The 13874-nt window shown below is 45.4% G+C and overlaps 1 protein-coding gene across 3 annotated transcripts in view, besides 5 other annotated features; it reads left to right on the top strand.

Annotated features, from left to right (window-relative positions):
- Positions 4366-4787: a transcriptional cis regulatory region, noted in NCBI's record as "candidate enhancer chr15.2471 targeted for multiplex CRISPR interference". NCBI's record gives its function as "positively regulates ETFA gene expression in K562 cells {active_cell/tissue: K562}" and the evidence as "EXISTENCE:mutant phenotype evidence [ECO:0000015][PMID:30612741]".
- Positions 6349-6398: an enhancer, noted in NCBI's record as "active region_9878". NCBI's record gives its function as "activates an Ori minimal core promoter by ATAC-STARR-seq in GM12878 lymphoblastoid cells {active_cell/tissue: GM12878}" and the evidence as "EXISTENCE:reporter gene assay evidence [ECO:0000049][PMID:35858748]".
- Positions 6459-6508: an enhancer, noted in NCBI's record as "active region_9877". NCBI's record gives its function as "activates an Ori minimal core promoter by ATAC-STARR-seq in GM12878 lymphoblastoid cells {active_cell/tissue: GM12878}" and the evidence as "EXISTENCE:reporter gene assay evidence [ECO:0000049][PMID:35858748]".
- Positions 6718-7218: an enhancer, noted in NCBI's record as "H3K27ac hESC enhancer chr15:76603563-76604063 (GRCh37/hg19 assembly coordinates)". NCBI's record gives its function as "activates a minimal SCP1, AML or CMV promoter by ChIP-STARR-seq in naive H9 embryonic stem cells {active_cell/tissue: H9 hESC(naive)}" and the evidence as "EXISTENCE:reporter gene assay evidence [ECO:0000049][PMID:30033119]".
- Positions 6971-13874, top strand: part of ETFA (electron transfer flavoprotein subunit alpha) — a 96117-nt gene continuing 89213 nt past the window's right edge. For all 3 annotated transcript variants that reach the window (XR_007064434.1, NM_001127716.2, NM_000126.4), the window contains exon 1: positions 6971-7090. Coding sequence is in view for 2 of the 3 variants with exons in the window: in NM_001127716.2 (NP_001121188.1) it covers positions 7052-7090 (39 nt within the window). In the remaining variant the exon portion in view is untranslated. The remainder of the gene's footprint in view (positions 7091-13874) is intronic.
- Positions 7219-7719: an enhancer, noted in NCBI's record as "H3K27ac hESC enhancer chr15:76603062-76603562 (GRCh37/hg19 assembly coordinates)". NCBI's record gives its function as "activates a minimal SCP1, AML or CMV promoter by ChIP-STARR-seq in primed H9 embryonic stem cells {active_cell/tissue: H9 hESC(primed)}" and the evidence as "EXISTENCE:reporter gene assay evidence [ECO:0000049][PMID:30033119]".

Below are 13874 nucleotides of genomic sequence, written 5' to 3'. Positions count from 1 at the left end.
ATATCAGCCCAGCTACTGCTTCTGCCCAGTTCCGCTGTCTCATCCCTCACACAGGTGTGGCTCCTAAGGGCACCCCCTATCTATCATGATGTATTCTGAACTTGTCTCGATCTTGCATCCAAGAGAAAGCAGGAGTGTGGGAGTGGTTGAGAAAACAGGTGGTAAGATGGGGGTTTGGAGCTGCATTACTTTTTACCAGACTGGCACTGAGGACCCAAACCCTGCTGGTAGCTGGAACAAGCCTTTGGCATAAGGTGATATCCAATTCTTAAGACTTGCACTAGTGGCAAATTGGGATGGGATGCTTGTGGAAGGGAATATGGGGGAAATAGTAAAGACAATGACATTGGGTGGCAATTGCTAAGCTCCATGCCCTTGATAAAAAATTACAAAGGAGTAGGAATGATTAACAGGCAATTGAGAACCATGTATAAAAGCTAGAGGACCTCCTTGACAGCACACAATGAGGCAAACTTCAAGGTTCTAACCTTCAAGGATCATTATTCCTCTTTATCTCACTAGTATTGTCCCTCCAGGAACCAGACGGAACCTGGAAGATGACAGTAGACTATCACAAACCCACAGAAGTAGTAGCCCTATTGCCGCCACCACACCAGTTTTGGTATCTTTGCTAGAGCAGATTAACACAGCCCCAGGTACATTTTATGTGGACATTGATTTGGTGAATTGGTTCTCTTCTAGCCCTAGGAGAAAAGTGGATCAGAAACAGTATGCATTCACATGGAACAAACAACAGTCTACAATCACAGTTTTGCCCCAGGGCTATGTTAACTTTCAGCATCTATCAATCACAATACAGCCTGAAGAGGTCTGGACCATCTGGACATACTGTAGAACATCGCATTGATCTTTTACATCAATGACATTACATTGATTCAGCTGGGTGGAAAAAAGTGGATAGCACATTAGAGGCCTTGGAGAATGACAACACAGGCCCCTGCAGTACTGGAGCAAGGCCATGCCATCTGCAGCGGAGACTTACGTGCCTTTTGGGAAAAAATTCTGGTGTGCTACTGGCCTGATCATAGACACCAAGCGACCACATTCTAGAGGGTAGGAGATAAATCCTGCAAAGATTCAGGGGTCTCCCACATAAGATGTTTAGGGGTCCAGAGTTAGGGCATTCCAGGATATCTCATCCAAAGAAAAAGATAAATTATTGCATCTTGCACCTCCCACCATGTAGAAAGAAGTGTTAAGGCCTGATAGGCCTCTTTGGGTTCTGGACACAGTATATTCCACATCTGGAAATACTGCTCCAACCCATGCCATCAGTGCAGGTGACATAAAAGGCTCCCAGCATTAACTGGAGCTCAGAGCATAAAAAGGTTATACAGCAGGTCCAGGCAGTCTGCTACTTGGTCATTTGTGCTTCCATAGACGGTGTTAGTGTTAGTGGTAGGAAAAGATGCTGTGTGGAGTTGATGACGAGCTCTACTGGGAGAATGACAACACAGGCCCCTGCAGTATTGGAGCAAGGCCATGCCATCTGCAGTGGAGACTTATGTGCCTTTTGAGAAAAACTCCTGGTGTGCTACTGACCTGATCATAGACACCAAGTGACCATATGCCAGGAATTACCCATCATGAGCTGGGTTCTGCCAAACCCACCGAGTCACAATACCAGGCAGTCAGTAACAATGCATCCTAGGATGGAACTGGTACATCTGGGACTTAAAATAAGTAAGACCAGAAGGTACAAGCAAGTTCCACGAGCTGGCAGCCTAGACCCCCATGAACACCACTACTACCTCAACACACCTCCCCTGGTGCACCCTTCTGGTTGTAGGTAGGATCCTTTATGACCAGCTGACAAGAGGAGGAAAAATCCTATACTTGGTCAATGGAGGGTCTGCTCAGTATGTGAGTTCAAGCTGAAAATAGATGGCAGTTGCACTATAGCCCCACTTAGGGACAGCCTTGAAAGACAATGGTGAAGAAAAATCTCCATGGGCAGAGCTTCAGGAGGTGCACTTGGCCATCCACTCTTCCTGCACAGAGAGGCATCTCAAGCACAGAATATCTATGTACTCAGTGGCAGTGAGGAATGGCCTACCTGGCTAGCCAGGGCCCCGGAAGAAGAAAGGTTGGAATGGAAGATGGGGGACAGGGAGGTCTGGGGTAGGGGCATGAGGATAGGTGTCTGGAGTGGGCACCAAGTATGAAGATGTTTGTATTACATGTTAACACCCACCAGAAACCATCCACCATTGAAAAGCCACCATGTAACTAAGAGGACAAAAATATCTGGGCCAGTTGACCTTAGTCGGCCTCTGTCATCAGCCACCTAGTGCTGGTACTAAGGGCACATGCATGAAATGACTACAGTGGCAGAGACAGAGGCAGCAGGAGCCTAATAGCATGGGCTCCCACTTACGAAGCCTGATTGAGCTACTGCCACTGCTGAATGAGCCCCCAATATGGCACCATTCCTCCAGAAGACCAGCTGGCTCCACGGTGCAAGTTGACAACATGGAACCCCTTCTATCTTGGAAAAGGCAAGATTCATCCTAACCACATGGAACCCCTTTCATCTGGAAAAAGTCGAGATTCACCATGTCAAGAAAACGCATATATTCTGGGTACTGTTTACCTTTCCTGTTCTCAGGACCTTAGTCAGCACCACTATTTGAGGGCTTATCGAGTATCTGATTCACTGTCACAGGATCCCACATAACATCCATCAGGCCAGGGACCCAATTTACTGCAATGGAGGTGCAGAAATGAGTCCGTGATCAGAGGATTCCCTAAGCGATTCACAGGCTGGATCATCCAGACACTGCCAGCCTGACAGGATATCGGAATGGCTGCTGAAGGCCCACTGGAAGCAGCAGCTTGGAGACAGCACTTGATAAGGGTGGGGTTCATCTTCTAGGATACTCCTTGAACCAAAGACCTTTATATAGTGCTGGGACCTGCAGGGTTAGAGGTCTTTGTCCCCAAAGGGGAATCTTTCACCAGAGGACACAGCAAGGGTCCTCTGAGCTATAAGCTACAGCTGCCACCTGGGCACCTTGTATGCAGGGACCAGAAGACCAGAAGGGGAGTCATCTTGGCTAAGAGTAACCTACTTGGGTGCCTCTGAGTCCTCCATTGCCCAATTATGACAATAAACAGGCTTGGGAAGGGCATGCTGGTCAGGGGTTGAGATCTTCAGTCCACGAGGCAGGATGGAGGCATTAGCCACTCAAACCAGGGGAGGTGCTAGCTGAGGGAGGGGGAGATTTAGAATGGATACTGAGGAAGGAGACGATAAGTACCATTGTGACCCCCAGAAAGTTGCAGCAGCTAGGGCTGTAGTTGGTCCCAGGGACCTTTCTCTTCTAAGTTTCCAGCAGGAATCCTGGAGGAGCTGCTCCTGAAATTGGCCTGTGGAGAAGAAAGAGGTGTTGCTCCAAATATGCTGGAGTCATCTTCAAGGGTTGACTGTGGTAGTCCTTGAATCCTCCTTCCTCCACCCTCTCTTTTCTGCCCTTTCTTCTTTGGACAAATATTTACTTTCTTTCTTTTTTTTTTTTTTTTTTTTGTTTGAGATGGAGTCTTGCTCTGTCATCCGGGCTGGAGTACAGTGGTGTAATCTTGGCTCACTGCAACCTCTGCCTCCCAGGTTCAAGTGATTCTCATGCCTTAGCTGCAGGGGTAGGTGGTATTATAAGAACATGCTACCACACCCGGCTAATTTTTGTATTTTTAGTAGTGAAGGTGGGGGGAGGGTCTCGCCATGTTGACCAGGCTGGTCTTGAACTCCTGACCTCAAGTGATCCGCCCGCCTCGGCCTCCCAAATTGCTAGGATTACAGGTGTGAGCCATTGCACCTAGCCCATTGGACACATATTTCTACAAATGTTTGCTGAACATCTAAAAATAAGAAGCAAATAAATAGGCTGGACACGGTGGCTCACGCCTGTAATCCCAGCACTTTGGGAGGCCACGGCAGGCAGATCACCTGAGGTCAGGGCTTTGAGACCAGCCTGACCAACATGGTGAAACCCCATCTCTACTAAAAATACAAAAATTAGCTGGGCATGGTGGTGGGCACCTGTAATTCCAGCTACTTGGGAGCCTAAGGCAAGAGAATCCATTGAAACTGAGGGGAGGTGGAGGTTGCAGTGAGCCGAGATCGCGCCACTGCACTCCAGCCTGGGTGACAGAGTGAGACTCCGTCTCCAAAATAAATAAAATAAAAATAAGTAAATAAAAGGAAACCATAGGTCCTGCCACCAAAGCGGCTCCTAATGGAGTGGGAAAGTCATATGCCTCTAGGGAAAATCTTCTAATAGAAATGTCTTAGCACACACATTTCTGTGGTACATAACCTGGTTGTGATTGTAGAACCCTGATACATCCCAAAGCCTCAGGGGGCGTTTCATGTGTGATCAGAACAGGTCTGGTCAGGTGTCACAGACTTTGCCCATTTTTAGCCTCTCCCTCTGCTCTGAACTGCTCCACCAGGAACCCCCAGGGGCAACGAGACTCTGGGGTGAACAGCTGCTGCTGATTTGCCCAAGCCTGGGAGCTGTTGAATCTGCCCAGTGGGGGCAGGGCGGGGCAGCCGCTCTCCCCTTGTATTTCGCTTTGTCATGGGTGGGGAGGTAGGGAAGGAGGTTAGTTTGTATCCCAGTTTTTTATATGGTTTTTAGTAAAATATCCTTTTCTGTTTTTACTAAAAGTACCCTTCCCTCTTCCTTCCACTCCCATAGGTCTCAGATTCTAGTCCAGTGTGGGACTGGTTAGGAGGTAAATGCAGTGAGACATGGAATACTAAATTGCCCCTCCCACAGGCAGATTGACTGGGGGACAGGGGTCCACAGCTCTGTCGGCAACATGAGTTCAGACGTGTTCGAAGTGGGTGCAACTTAAGTTTAAGATGGGTCCTCACCTCCTTGTTCATAGAGCTACAAGAGTGAAGAAGAGGAAAGGATTAATTCATCCTGCAGAATTGAGAAAGAGCTTACAAAAGAAATGTCACTTGGGCCAGGCGTGGTGGCTCATGTCTGTAATCCCAGTACTTTGAGAGGCCAAGGTGGGAAGATCACTTGAGGCCAGGAGTTCGAGACCAGCCCTGGGTAACCCTGCCCCTACAAAAAAAAATAGCTGGGCATGGTGGCACATGACTGTAGTCCCAGCTACTTGGGAGGCTGAGGCAGGAAGATTGCTTGATCCCAGGAGTTCGAGACTGCAGTGAGCTGTGATGGCACCACCGCACTCCAGCCTGGGAAACAGAGTGAGACCTTGTCTTAAACAGAACAAAAGAATTGTCACTTGATCTGGGTTTTAAAGAGGGCTGTCAGATGGGGAAGGGAATTTCAGACAGAGGGAAGAGCAAAAGCGCAAGGCCCTTAGAGTGCTTGTTAGTTCAGACAAAGCTCTTGCTTCAGGGAATTTACACTCCAATGCAGTGAGATCAGCAATAAACAAACATGTGCATCCTGTTAGGCAGTGATAAATGCCAAGAAAAAAAATCAAACAAGGTGATAGGGCGTCTGGGAGTGGCATGGGTGCTATTTTAGGTGGAGAGGCTAAGGCCGGCCTTTCTGCAAATGTGTTTTTTGAGCAGAGACCTGAATGAAGTGAGGAAGTACGCCACGCGGGTAACAAGAGAAGGCCATTTCAGGCAGAGGGAAGAGCCAGAGTGCAAAACTCTGAGAGGAGCAGGCTTGTGTGCTCAAGAAGGCCTATGTATCTGGGGAACAGTGAGAGAAGAGGGCAGTGGGAGGAGAGGGAGCCACCATAGGGCTTTGAGCAGAGGTCATGATCAGTCCATCAGTTTGGAGAAGAGGCTTCTGGAAACATGGGCAGAAACAGAAAGACCAGTTAGGAGGCTTTGCAATGATCCAGGCGAGAGAGGACAGGGTCCTGAGTGAAGGTGATACCAGCAGAGGAGCAAAGGGGTGTTGGAGGATATTGCTGGATTCTGGTTATCTTTTGAAGGTAGAGTCAACGGGATTTGTTGATAGACTAGATAACATTGGAAAGGTAGGTTGTTGCTGAATTGGGAATTGAGACAATTTCTGAACATACCACTTCCCTCTTAAAAATTTCGTGTTAAAGTCCAGACTCATTAGCAGTCATTTATTCATTTGCTTATTCATTCAACACATACTGATTGAATGCCTAGTATGGACCAGGCATTGTGCTAGGTGTTGCAGGTAGACACAAAATTTAAAAGTAGGGCATACTGGCCGGGCGCGGTGGCTCACGCCTGTAATCCCAGCACTTTGGGAGTCCGAGGCGGGCGGATCACGAGGTCAGGAGATCGAGACCATCCTGCCTAACACTGTGAAACCCCGTCTCTACTAAAAATACAAAAAAATTAGCTGGGCGTGGTGGCGGGCGCCTGTAGTCCCAGCTACTCGGGAGGCTGAGGCAGAAGAATGGAGTGAACCCGGGAGGCGGAGCTTTCAGTGAGCTGAGCTCGCGCCACTGCACTCCAGCCAGGGTGACAGAGGGAGACTCTCTCTCTCTCAAAAAAAAAAAAAAAAAAAAGGGCATACTTTCTGCCCTTACAGATCTTCAGTCAGATGGGTGACACAGACAAGTACTTAGGTTATTACAACCCATGTGACAATTGCTACCATGGGGAAATACAGGGGGAAATAGGGGCATATAGGAAAGGTATCTAATTGGAATTGGCAAGGCTCCACTCGTACCTTACCCCGAGGTCAGCTCAGTTTTGAAGTTCACTCTAGCAGTGCTGACCATTGCGGGGCTGTGAGACAGTACAGTCTGAGCTCGGTCATCAGCGGGTGGCCAGCTTTGTCTCTGCCGCTCCGCGGCCCGGGCTTACTCGAAGGTCCCCGGGGAATAGCCTCACCTTTGCCCCACTTCCCAGTCTAGCCCCTAACTTCCCGCCGTCTATTGGCTGCGCAGCCGCCCAATGGGCAGGCGGAAACCGCGGGCTCGTGCTCCCGGCCTAGGGCGTCTTATCTCGTTCGCGCGTCTCGCGAGCATTAGGTGACTGGCTGAGGCGGCGCCAGTTGGCCGGGCACGGGGCTGCTGTAAGGCCGAGGTTGCGGCGGAAGCGGAGACCATGTTCCGAGCGGCGGCTCCGGGGCAGCTCCGGCGGGCGGTGAGTCCGGACTGGGAAGGCGAACCCAGGGACGGCCCCCCGTCAACCCGCCGTCCCTATGGGGTCTTGCAAAGATCACTGGCCCCCTCAGATTCGACCAGCCCTCGCGCCCGCAGGCCGGTCCCCGCCTGGGACTTGGGTCCAAAGTTCTGGGGCCTACCCTGGACTCCCTGCGGAACGCCAGTTCGGGGCAGAAGTCAGAGGTTTGGGGTCAGGGTGACCCCGAATGATGTGAATTTGCGCGTCTGCTGCCCCTTCTTCTGGCCCACTCTCTGCCCTGCCGTTTCCCACCTTTGTCGGTCACTCTGGGCACTTTCGGGCCGCCAGGTCCTCCACACTTGCTCCACACCCGAGGGAGCAAAATGTCACCGGGGAATGCCCTGTTGGGGAAAGTTTCAAACCTAGATTCCTCCCGGAGGCCGGCATTTCTGGAAGAATTAAACACTTTGGGCGCATCGTGGCTACTCCGACCCACTCACTGTCAAGGGCGGGGGTGGGGTGGGGTGGGAGGCTGCGTGGCCAGTTATGGAAGCTGGTTCTGCTTTCTGGTTTATGGAGCAGGGCTGAATTTAGGTGATTGTATTTGTAAAACCTGCGATCCGATTTGACAGCTTTAGCCAGTTTTGAAAGGCAGACGTCTTTTTATATGCTTCAGGCTGACCTGCTTTTAACCAGCAGATTGTAGATTAGGTTAACTGGTGACAGTGGTACATTTTCAGTGTTTCATTAGTGACAAACCACATTTCTCTCTTCTGTTGTGAGAAGGACTGATAGGAAACATATTTTCCTTCTCATGCTGTGGGAAAGGAGTATTTGGAGACTGACCAGTCACAAGTCAAGTAACAATAATTTATATTGTGGATTGTGTAGTTTTCCTAGTTTACATTTAGGTGAAATGAGAAACAAGATTGGTAAACTTGGGTCAGAAACTTACCTGATGGTTTGTACCTTTTCTCCTTTTTTTTTTTTTTTTTTTTTTTCTGGGCATGGATATTTTCCCATCCACTCCTGGGATTTTTCTCTCTGAGGCATAGCTGGAGCTCTTTCTAGATGTCTGTAGACATTAGACTTTTGTTTGTTTGTTTGTTTGTTTGTTTAAGAGACAAGGTCTGGCTCTGTTTCCCATGCTGGAGTGGAGTGCAGTGGCACGATATGGGCTCACTGCAACCGTCGCCTCCCAGGTTCAAGCGATTCTCCCACCTCAGCTTCCCGAGAAGCTGGGATCACAGGTGCGCATCATCACGCCTGGCTAATTTTTTTTTTTTTTTTTTTTTTTTTTTTGTAGAGACGGGGTTTCCCCATGTTACCCAGGCTGGTCTCGAACTCTTGTCCTCAAGTGATCCACCTGCCTCGGCCTCCCAAAGTCCTGGAATTACAGGCCTGAGCTACCGCACCTGGCCTTAGACATCTTTTTTCTTGTGCGTATTCCTTGTTTAATAAAAAGTTCTGACCCTCCCCTCCCCTAAAGAGTTCAAACCCATGTCTTTCAGGTTAGTGTCCTGTCTTCCCCTCAGGACATGTTTTCTCCCGGTTGGGGATCTAGACATAAACAAGTGAAAATCATGAATTTGGGGAAATTCCAGGAACCTGAGCCAGAAGAATGCTGCTCTATGCAGCAGTTGGAAAACAGTTTTGTGGACAGATTACAAGTCTGGCCTAAGTGAAATTATAATTGTGGTGGGGGATGGAATTTAGGACTCAGTAATTTTGTAGAGCTAACAGAAAAAAATGGAATGATTAAGTAATTTTTACTATCCACATCGTTGGCTAATGTGTATAGACATTACTTCCAGATATTCATTGTGGTTTGCCAAAGACTTTGACCTTGACTTATTTTTAAAATTTGAAGTCAAGCTAAGTAGAATAGCTGTTTTTTTTGTTTGTTTGTTTGTTTGTTTTGAGACGGAGTCTCGCTCTGTCGCCCAGGCTGGAGTGCAGTGGCGCGATCTCAGCTCACTGCAAGCTCCGCCTCCCGGGTTCACGCCATTCTCCTGCCTCAGCCTCCTGAGTAGCTGGGACTACAGGTACCCGCCACCACGCCCCGCTAATTTTTTTGTATTTTTAGTAGAGACGGGGGTTTCACTGTGTTAGCCGGTATGGTCTCGATCTCCTGACCTCATGATCCGCCCGCCTTGGCCTCCCAAAGTGCTGGGATTACAGGCGTGAGCCACCGCGCCCAGCCTAGAATAGCTGTTTTAAAGTCATTAAGAATGTTGGAGAGATTTGGATTTCTAGCATAAAAGAAATGGTGGCAACACTTCTAAAGTGGACCCATATATTAATAGGGACATATACCTGTATTTAACTTTTTAAATTTTGAAATAGTTGCACTTATAGAAAAGTTGCAAGAATAGTACAAAGAAATCTCAAAACCCTTCCCCTGGTTTTCCCAGCATGTTAGCAGTTTGACACATTTGCTTTATCTTTCCACATATATACATAATACTATCTTTCTGAACCATTTGAAAGTATGTTGCAAATGTGCCCTTTACTCCTAAATAATTGAGTGATATTTTAAAAGAACAAAGAGGTTCACTTTCTAACTACACTGTAATTGGCAATATCTGGAAGTTTCACCATAAAATACTGTTTTCTAATCTATGGATGTTCAATTTTGCCAGTTGTCCCATTAGTACAGTTTATAGCAATTTTCCTTATTCTGGTCTAAGATACTCTAGATGTCCTGCAAGTGGTTTTCATGTCTCTTTACTCTGTTAGAAAGGTTCCTCAGCCTTCCTTTGGGTTTGATGACATTGGTGTATTTGAAGAGTACAGGCCTTCTATTTTCCAGACTGTCACTCAATTTGGGTTTGTCTGGTGTTTCCTCATGATTAGATTCAGGTCATGTATTCTTGGTGGGAATATCACAAAAGTGGTATTGTGTTCCCCGTGCATCATATTAGCAGGTACTTAATGTTGGTTTATCCCATTAGTGGTAATGCTGACTTTAGTTACTTAGCCAAAGTGTTGTTTGCCAGGTTTCTCCACTGTCAAGTTAATACTCCTCCTTTTGTAATTTTTAACTAATTTGTGAGGCGATTCATTGAGACTATGTGACTGTCCTATTTCTCATCAGACTTTTACCCAGTCTTAGCATCTGTTGATGATTTTTGCCTGAGAAATGATTACTATGATGCAAAATGGTGATTTTCTATTTCCATGATACCTTCGTACATTTTTTAGTTATTCTACTATAAGGAAGAACATTATCTTCTTGCATATTTATGGATTTATGGATACATGGATCCTTATTTAGGATAATACATTTCTACCTTATGCTGAAGTTGTCTCATGTTTGTAAAGTGGGGCCCATTCAATCTGACTCCTGTTTGTTTACATATATATGTTTGTGATATCACAAAGTCAAAATAGCTTATCTCAAGTCCCCACTCTTGAAATTAAAAAAAAAATGTTCTGTAGCTAACCATTAATGCATTTAGGAAGAGGATACATTTCCAAAACCATATTTAAAAAAATAAAGTTAGGAATTACAGTTAAAAGATTACCATAAACTGTTAACGATGTGCATATAGTTAACACTTAACACTTAAAAATGGTTAAGATGGGGCCAACCATGGTGGCTGACACCTGTAATCCCAGCACTTTGGGAGGCTGAGGCAGATGGATCACCTGAGCTCAGGAGTTCGAGACCAGCCTGCGCAACATGGCGAAACCCCATCTCTACCAAAAAAAAAATTAGCCAGGCGCCATGGTTCACACCTGTAGTCCCAGCTACTTGGGAGGCTGAGGCACGAGACTTGCTTGAACCTGGGCATTTGAGGCTGCATTGAGCCCAGGTAGCACCACTGCCCTCCGGCCTGGGCAACAGAGTGAGACGCTGTTTCAAAAAAAAAAAAAAAGGTTAAGATGGTAAATTTTATGTATTCTTTTAAACCACTTTGTTAAACTATTAGGATATAAGTTCAATGACTTGCATTTGGTATCTAAGTTCCATTTTTAGTTCTGACTGATTTGTGCCATTGAGTAAAGTCTTTCATCCTTATGTGTGTGGCAATGGTCTTTAAAGTCATCTGTTAACAAAGATAGTTTTTATATCTATAATAAAGAGCTAGAGAACACACCAAGAGGCAAATAGGTAGGCATTTGCAGTTAGTTAATATTCTTGCAGGGATATTAATCCTAATTATTGTTATTTATTAATTTGCTCTTGAAATTGATTTATTGAAGAATAAGAAGATGCAGAAAAATATTTATGTGGTGAGTGAAACAACAATTTCAAGGTCATTTGAGTACTCTTTTTACTGTGTTTATTGTCAGGTGGGAAGGAATATCTATCAGGACTGAGAAGCTATGAAACTGGTGTGAAGGAACATGACACTTTTCTGTCTAGTATTGATGAATAAGATTGAACTCTGTAATTTGCATGCAAATTTTAATTTCTATTGAAAGAAGAAAGAGAGCCAATTTTGGTGTGATTCTAAAAGAAAATTTATTGCATAAGGTGAATTCAGTAAAATTATGATGCCTGCCAATGTGTCTACTAAGAGTCTTGTCCTTTCTTAAAGTGAAGTAAATTGACTGTGTTTTTAGTATTACAGTCAATGTCATATAACATTTCTGGTCATGATTAAAAGCTGCTATATTTTATTACTAAAAGGATTAAAGGAAGTATTTAAAGTACAGAAATATACATTTTAAAAATTACAAAATGTATGTTAAAATAGGGATAGGTGACTTTATATATTATCCTTTTGGGTATGACTCAGAAAGATTTTATAGCTTATTCTTGCTGTTTTTCTTTTTTTAATTAAGAAGCAAAAAAACCGGCTGGGTGCAGTGGCTCATGTCTGTAATCCCAGCACTTTGGGAGGCTGAGGTGGGTGGATCACGAGGTCAGGAGTTTGAGATTAGCCTGACCAACATGGTGAAACCCGTCTCTACTAAAAATACAAAAATTAGCTGGGTGTGGTGGTGCGTGCCTGTAATCCCAGCTACTTAGGAGGCTGAGGCAGGAGAATTGCTTGAACCCAGGAGGCGGAGGTTGGAGTGAGCTGAGATCGCGCCACTGCACTGCAGTCTGGGCGACTGAGCGAGACTCTGTCTCAAAAAAAAAAAAAAAAAGAAGCAAAAAAACCCTCCCCTGCCCTCTATACCCTCATTACACCTAGTTTCCAAAGATGGTTGGGGTGGAGGTATAGGTTACAATCATTCTTACTACTTTAGGTTATGAGTGGGTTTGTAAGGGTAGAGAGTTAGATTCCAGCTTTTTTTCTTCTTCTACCATCTGTGGTACTTTACTATGTGAATATACAGTTCAAGTCACAGCAAGAACTCTAAAAAACTGACAAGCAAAAACAATGTCAAAAATGAGGCTGATGCTGGGCACAGTGTCATGTGCCTGTAGTCACAGCTACTCATGTGGCTGAGGCAGGAGGATCACTTGAGTCCAGGAGACCAGCCTGAGCAACATAGCAAGCAAGACCCAGTCTCAAACAAATACCCACCCCCACAAGAAAAAAAAAAAAACAACTATTGAGGTTGAAAAAGAGAAGGACCAAAATGTGTTCATTGGACTTAGCCATAATGAAGTTTTTGGTGACTTTGGAAAGATTGGATTCAGTGTTGTGAAGGTGAAAGCCAGTTTGCATGAGTAACTGAAAAAATGGAAGGTGAGGTAATAAGAGTTGGTGTCTGTGGAAATTATTTTCAAGAAATTTAGCTTTGAAAGGGTGCAGAGAGGGTGATAACCTCTTTAAATCCTGCCCACAAGAAGTATACTATCTTATAAAGGCCAGTCAACTTTATATGGGTATGTGGCTGGCATGAGAAAGAAAACTTCATATTTTGCTATTTGCAACCAAGTCTAAACAGAGTATAGAGAACTTCTCTAAAAGCATGATGGTGTGTCTGTTTTAGTGATGTAACAGTTTATGTACTGTTTAGTTACCCTTATACATGTTTAGTTGATTACATTATCAATGAGGAAACAGTTGCTTTTTAGTTTTTGATAATTTTAAGAAAAGTTTTCATTTAGTTACTATTCATTGAGTGCCAACTGTGTGCCAGAGAGGTAGATACCAAGTTCACAGTGGAGAACAAGACAGACCTAGTCCCTGCCCTTGTGATGCAAACAGATTAAGGAAGAAACACATTATTTTAAGTGTGGTCATTGTTACAGAACATAGAGGGTGTTTGGGAGAGGTTTAATCTTGTTAGAGGACTGGAAAACACTGAAAGGATATCTGTGAAATTATGTTTGCACACTGAGGTGCCTTAAACTATTGTTACTGAGTGATAAAGTAATAGAGCGGAGGATTTTCTTTCTTTCTTTCTTTCTTTTTTTTTTTTGAGACAGAGTCTCACTGTTGCCCAGGCTGGAGTGCAGTGGCGCCATCTCGACTCACTGCAGCCTCTGCTGCCTGGGTTCACGCCATTCATCTGCCTCAGCCTCCCAAGTAGCTGGGACTACAGGTGCCCGCCACCACGCCCGGCTAATTTTTGTATTTTTAGTAGAGACGGGGTTTCACCATGTTAGCCAGGATGGTCTCGCTCTCCTGACCTTGTGATCTGCCCGCCTCGGCCTCCCAAAGTGCTGGGATTACAGGTGTGAGCCACCGCTCCTGGCCGAGGATTTTCTTTAGATAAAAACATCACTTCATTTTTTAGTTTTGTCTAAAATCATTTATCATTGCTGTATTTTTTCCCCCAATTTTTTTTTTTTTTTTTTGAAATAGAGTCTTACTCTCACCCAGGCTGGAGTGCAGTGGTGTGATCTTGACTCGCTGCAGCCTCAACCTTCTAGGCTTAAATGATCCTTCCATCT

Source organism: Homo sapiens, chromosome 15, assembly GCF_000001405.40.
Source record: "Homo sapiens chromosome 15, GRCh38.p14 Primary Assembly".
Taxonomy (NCBI): Eukaryota; Metazoa; Chordata; class Mammalia; order Primates; family Hominidae; genus Homo; species Homo sapiens.
This window is presented reverse-complemented; position numbering and strand designations above follow the sequence as displayed.